Below are 5,395 nucleotides of genomic sequence, written 5' to 3' on the forward strand. Positions count from 1 at the left end.
TGAAGATATAAAAACCACCTTAAATCAGAAATTCAAAACTCACAGAAATGAACAAAAAAGAAAATAAAAAGCAAAGCAAAATGAAATGACAACTAACTGAACTCCAGAAATAACTAAGAAAAAGTCGAAAATATTTCAGATAATAAAGAATAAATTACAGGGTGCCAAAAAGAGAGAATAAACTGAAATTATATTTTTCATATGGGACATAAAAGAAAGACAGGAAATAACCAAAATGGTTACAGTCAGACCACCCTGAAAGTGCTCAATCTCATTTGATTTCAGAAGCTAAGCAGGATCAAACCTGGTTAGTATTTGGATGAGAATAAATAATCAAAAGGTTAAAAATGACATAAAGAAAGAGGTAAAAAGAATCAGAGAGAAAGTCCTATGAATGGAAGACAGGCCAAGAAGGAATAATATTCCAATTATCAGAGTCTCTAAGAAGATAAATAAAAAAATGGAAGAGTGCTAATATTTAAAACTATAAGAAAATGTTTCAAAAATAGAAAAAGACCCAAATCTCCAAACTTTTCAATGTCAGATAGTTCCAGTGCCCCATAAGATATTCCAGAGTATTACAAAGAAAGGAAAACTCTGTAACTCCTTTTATGAAGCAAGTGTAACTTATATTAAAACCAAATAAAGTATTTTTTTAAAACTAGCAATCAGTACCATTCATGAATACCAGTCCAAAAATACTAAATAAAATATTAACAAATCCATTTCAGTACCACAAAAATATACCATGACCAAGTGGGGTTTATTTCAGGAATATTAGATTGGTCCAATATAAGAAAATGTATTAATATATAACATATTAATGAACCCAGGAAACAAATGATGTGATTATCTCCATAGATGCTGAGAAAGTGTTAGACAAAATTCAAGGCCCATTCATAATTAAAATATTCAGGAAAACAGAAATTGAGAGATACTTTCTTATCACAATAAAGAGAGATATATATGCCTTAGGGCAATGCCACCTCAGTAGCAATGAGCACAGCTAGTACCCAGATTTTGATTTCTAAATACCACTCTCCAAGTAGGCAAAAGTTTGAGAAGAAACAAAATATTAGCATAGTCACAAAGAATTTCCATCCAGATATTTAAAATTACAGTGGAGAAAACAATAACTTTACAGTAGAGAAACATCACAAGTACCACCTTATTGCTTGGTACAAGTAATCAAGGTTAACATTTCCAATAGCAGCATATTAGCAAATCAAGTACCTCCTGATGTACACTAGGAATGAAAAAAATCATTTCTGTTGTATTCTTGCCGTAAAGCCATAACCTCAAGCTAATCATGAGAAAATATCAGGCTGTGATTGTTAATTTTATTTATCCACTTGATTGGGCCATGGGGTGCCCAGATATTTAGTCATACATTATTCTGGGTGTTTCTGTGAGGGTGTTTCTAGATGAGATTAGCATTTAAATTGACAGATTGAGTCAATTTAATGGAGGGAAGCAAATTTCCCTCCATAATGTAGGTGGCCCTCATTCAATCAGTTAAAGGTCTGAATAGAACAAAAAGTTGACCCTCTCTGAGTAAGAAAGAATTCTCCTGCTTTATGGCCTTCAAACTAGATTATCAGCACTTCCTTTGAACTGGAACATTAGCTCTTCCTTATTCTACAGCAGCTCCCAGCCTTCAGACTCAAACTGAGAAATCAGCTCTGCAGATTTTAGACTTTCCAGTTTCCGTAACTGTATGAGTCCATTTCTTCTAATAAATATTTTTGTAGGGGTGTGTGTGTGTATGCACATGCACACTAATGTGCTGTTGGTTCTATATTTATGTAAAACTTCAACTAATACACAGGTAAACTCAAATTAAAAGACATTCAACAAAATAACTTACCAGTACTCCAAAGGTATCAGGATCGTGAAAGATAAGAAAAAAGAGAAAATTTCAGATGGAATAAAACTAAGGAAGCACACAACTAAATGCAATGCAGTATCCTATATTAGATACTGGGAACAGAAAGAGGGCATTAGAGAGAAAACTGATAAAATTCAAATAACATCTATAGTTTAGTTAATACTATTGTACCAGTGTCAACTTTCTGATTTTGATCATTGTTACATCATTATATAAAATGTTAAACATCAGAAAAGGTGAACGCTACACAATAACTTGTTTTGCAATATTTTTGTAAGTTTAGCCATACTTCAAAATTAAAAGTTTAGAATTTATATATAGGTTTTTATACTTATCATTTGGTAATAGATAAGAGTCTAATTGGCAGCCATTTGTTCTACCTTTCTATATATACATTTTAACTAACTGAAAAGGTGTAATTTGGGAGGAGAGTGCCCTGTGTGAGTTGTCTTGACCCTAGAGAGGTATATGGCAAGCCAACACTATAATTGCCGTATACAGAAGACAAAGGCTATATAAAGGTAGGCACAGGATCTTTAATAAAGCAAATGCAAAAGGGCAGTAAAACAACACAAAGGAAGAAGGGCATAGAAAGCTTCCCAAAAGAGGAAAAAGAAGCGTGTATTAAAAAGCCTAGGGCTTAGAATGCAGATGATGGTTTCCCTGGACAGTTCTAGCATAGCATTATAAATTCAAATCCTGCCGGTGCCAAGACAGGAATCTAAATGTACTCCTAGTGAAAGACAATAGGAAATGAGGGAATTTGAGAAGTAGACCATCCACATCTATATAAAGGTATTCAAATATTTAGTCTTTAAACTGTGAAGGCATCTGGATTTGGTCTCTGACTCACTAGTTTTCAATCCATGGTAGGCTCTAGAGTTTAAGCGAGAAGGCAAATGGATTTTGAGATGTCTGTTCAGCCCATCATAAGATGAGAATGTAGACCAGGATTACAGACAAAAACCCAGTTTAAAACTAAAATATTTATATTGTATGAGTTTTGGAAATAAGATCATAGGCCCAGAATATTTTGAAGTATGGCTCTGTCCATTGAATTAAAATCTGAATTCAGGAAGGAATGGGTGGGGGTAATTATCAGACTTCTGCAAAATCTCTCACCTCAAACTTTAACACAGAGGCAGAGCAAGATGGCCACATAGGAGTCTTTACTAATTGTCCTCCCAGCAAGAACACCAAATTGAACAACTATCCACAAAAAAAAAGCACCTTTATAGGAACCAAAAATTATATGAGTGACCACAGTATCTGATTTTAACTGTATATCACTGAGAAAGACACTGAGGAGAGTAGGAAAGAAAGTCTTGAATTGCCAATGCCACCCCTCCCCTATCCCCTACCCCTACTCCCACCCTGTGTAGCAGCTGCATGGTATGGAGAGAGAATCTGTGTGCTTGGGGGAAGAAGAGTGCAGGGATTGTGGGAATTTGCATTGTAACTCAGTGCTGCTCTGCCAGAGTGGAAAGCAACACAGGGCAGAACTCAGCCAGCATCCATAAAGGGAGCATTTAGACCAGTTCTAGCCAGAGGGGATCACCAATCCCAGTGGTCAGAATCTGAGTTTTGGCAAGCCTCACTACTGCGAGTCAAGGGCTCTTAGGTCCTAAATAAACTCAAAAGGCAGTCTAAGCCACAAGGACTGTAATTCCTGGGCAAATCCAGATGCTGTGCCGGACTCAGAATCAGTGGACTTAGGGGACCTGCAATCTAATGAGATACCAGCCAGGGTGATCAAGACATGCGTGCACCACCCCTCCCACAACTCCAGGCAACACAGCTCACAGCTCCAGGAGAGAATCCTTCCTTCTGCTTGGGGAGAGAGGAAGGGAGATTTCATAAAGAGGGCTTTGTCTTCCGACTTAGGTACCAGCTAAGCCACAGTAGGATAGGGCACCAGGTGGAGTCCTGAGGCCCCCATTTCAAGCCCTAGCACCCAGATGATGTTTCTGGACATACCCTGACCCAGAAGGAACCTGTTACCTTGAAAGGAAGGACCCAGTCCTGGTAGCATTCATCACCTGCTGAGTAAAGACTATTTGGGCCCTGAATTATTAGCAATGGTAAAAAAAGGTAGTACCTACCATGGGAGGTAGGTGAGACTCTGAGACTTCATGGCTTCAGATGTGACTCAGCACATTCCAAGCTGTGGTAGAGTTGGGGAGAGACTCTGCTTGAGAAAAGGAGAGGAAAGATAAAAGGGTACTCTGTCTTGCATCTCAGGTACCAGCTCAGCCACAGTAGGGTAGAGAACCAAGTGGGCTCTGGAGCTCCCCAAATCCAACCCTTCGTCCTTGGATGGCATTTCTGGACCTGACCCAGGTCAGAGAGGAGCCAAGTGACCTGAAGGCAGATTCCCAGACCACAAGCTAACTGAAGAGCGCTTGGCCTTGAGTGAATATTGGTGGTAGCCAGGAGGTACCTGTCATGGGCCTGGGGCAGTGGTGGCCATGTGGGAAGACCCCTCTGCTTGTGGAAAGAGGAGGGAAGAGTGAGAAGGACATTGTCTTGTGACTTGGGTGCAAGCTCAGCTGTAAAAGAATAGCACTGGGAAGATTAGTAAGGTTTCTGACTCATCTCTGGACCCACCTGAGAGTAGGGCGAACTCACTGCCCTGAAGGGAAAGACACAAGCCTAGCTGACTTCACAGCCTGCTCACTATAGAGCCCTAGGGACTTAAGCAAACATAAGTGGTAGCCAAGTAATTGTTACCACAGGCCTTGGGCGAGACCCAGAGCTGTACTGGCTTTGGGACTGATCCAGCACAGTCCCAGTGGTAGTGGCCACAGGAATATTTGAGTCACCACTCCCCCAGCACCAGACAGCTCAGCACAGAGAGAGAGAGAGACTTTGTTTAGGGAAAAAGAAGGAAAGAGAACAAGAGTTTCTGACTGGTAATCCAAGGAATTCTCCTGGATCGTACCCAACACTGCCAAGGTGGTCATTCTATGAGTCTATAAAAGTCACAGTGTTACAAGGCTTGGGATGCCCTCTAATGCACATATGGCTACAATAACCGAAGACTTAGATAACAACAATCAATTCCCTTTTAATACTTGGAAAGACTTCCAAAGAAGGATCAGTACAAACAAGTCCAGACTGTGAAGATTACGATAAATACCTGACTCTTCAATACCCAGACATCAATGAACATCCACAAGCATCAAGACTATTCAGCAGGAAAACATGACCCAAACAAACTAAGTAATGTACCAAGGGCCAATGCTGGAGAGACAGAGATATATGACCTTTCAGACAGAATTCAAAATAGCAGTGTTGAGGAAACTAAAAGAATTTAAGATAACATAAAGAAGGAATTCAGAATTCTATGAGATAAATTGAACAAAGACATTGAAATAATTAAATAGAATCAGCCAGAAATTCTGGAGCTGAAAAATATAATTGACATACTGAAGAATGCCTCACAGTCTCTTGACAGCAGAATAACTCAAACAGAGGAAAGATTTAGTAAGCTTGAAGACAAGCTAT

At 39.2% G+C, this 5,395-nt stretch overlaps 1 pseudogene, besides 1 other annotated feature; it reads left to right on the forward strand.

The window, feature by feature from the left end:
• RNA5SP147 (RNA, 5S ribosomal pseudogene 147) lies at positions 245-353 on the forward strand (annotated as a pseudogene).
• Positions 3,573-4,772: an enhancer, noted in NCBI's record as "MED14-independent group 3 enhancer chr3:176484349-176485548 (GRCh37/hg19 assembly coordinates)". NCBI's record gives its function as "activates an origin of replication core promoter dependent on BRD2, BRD4, P300/CBP and CDK7 cofactors, and independent of MED14, by STARR-seq in HCT116 cells {active_cell/tissue: HCT116}" and the evidence as "EXISTENCE:reporter gene assay evidence [ECO:0000049][PMID:35650434]".

The sequence above is a fragment of the Homo sapiens genome, chromosome 3 (assembly GCF_000001405.40).
Source record: "Homo sapiens chromosome 3, GRCh38.p14 Primary Assembly".
Lineage (NCBI taxonomy): Eukaryota > Metazoa > Chordata > Mammalia > Primates > Hominidae > Homo > Homo sapiens.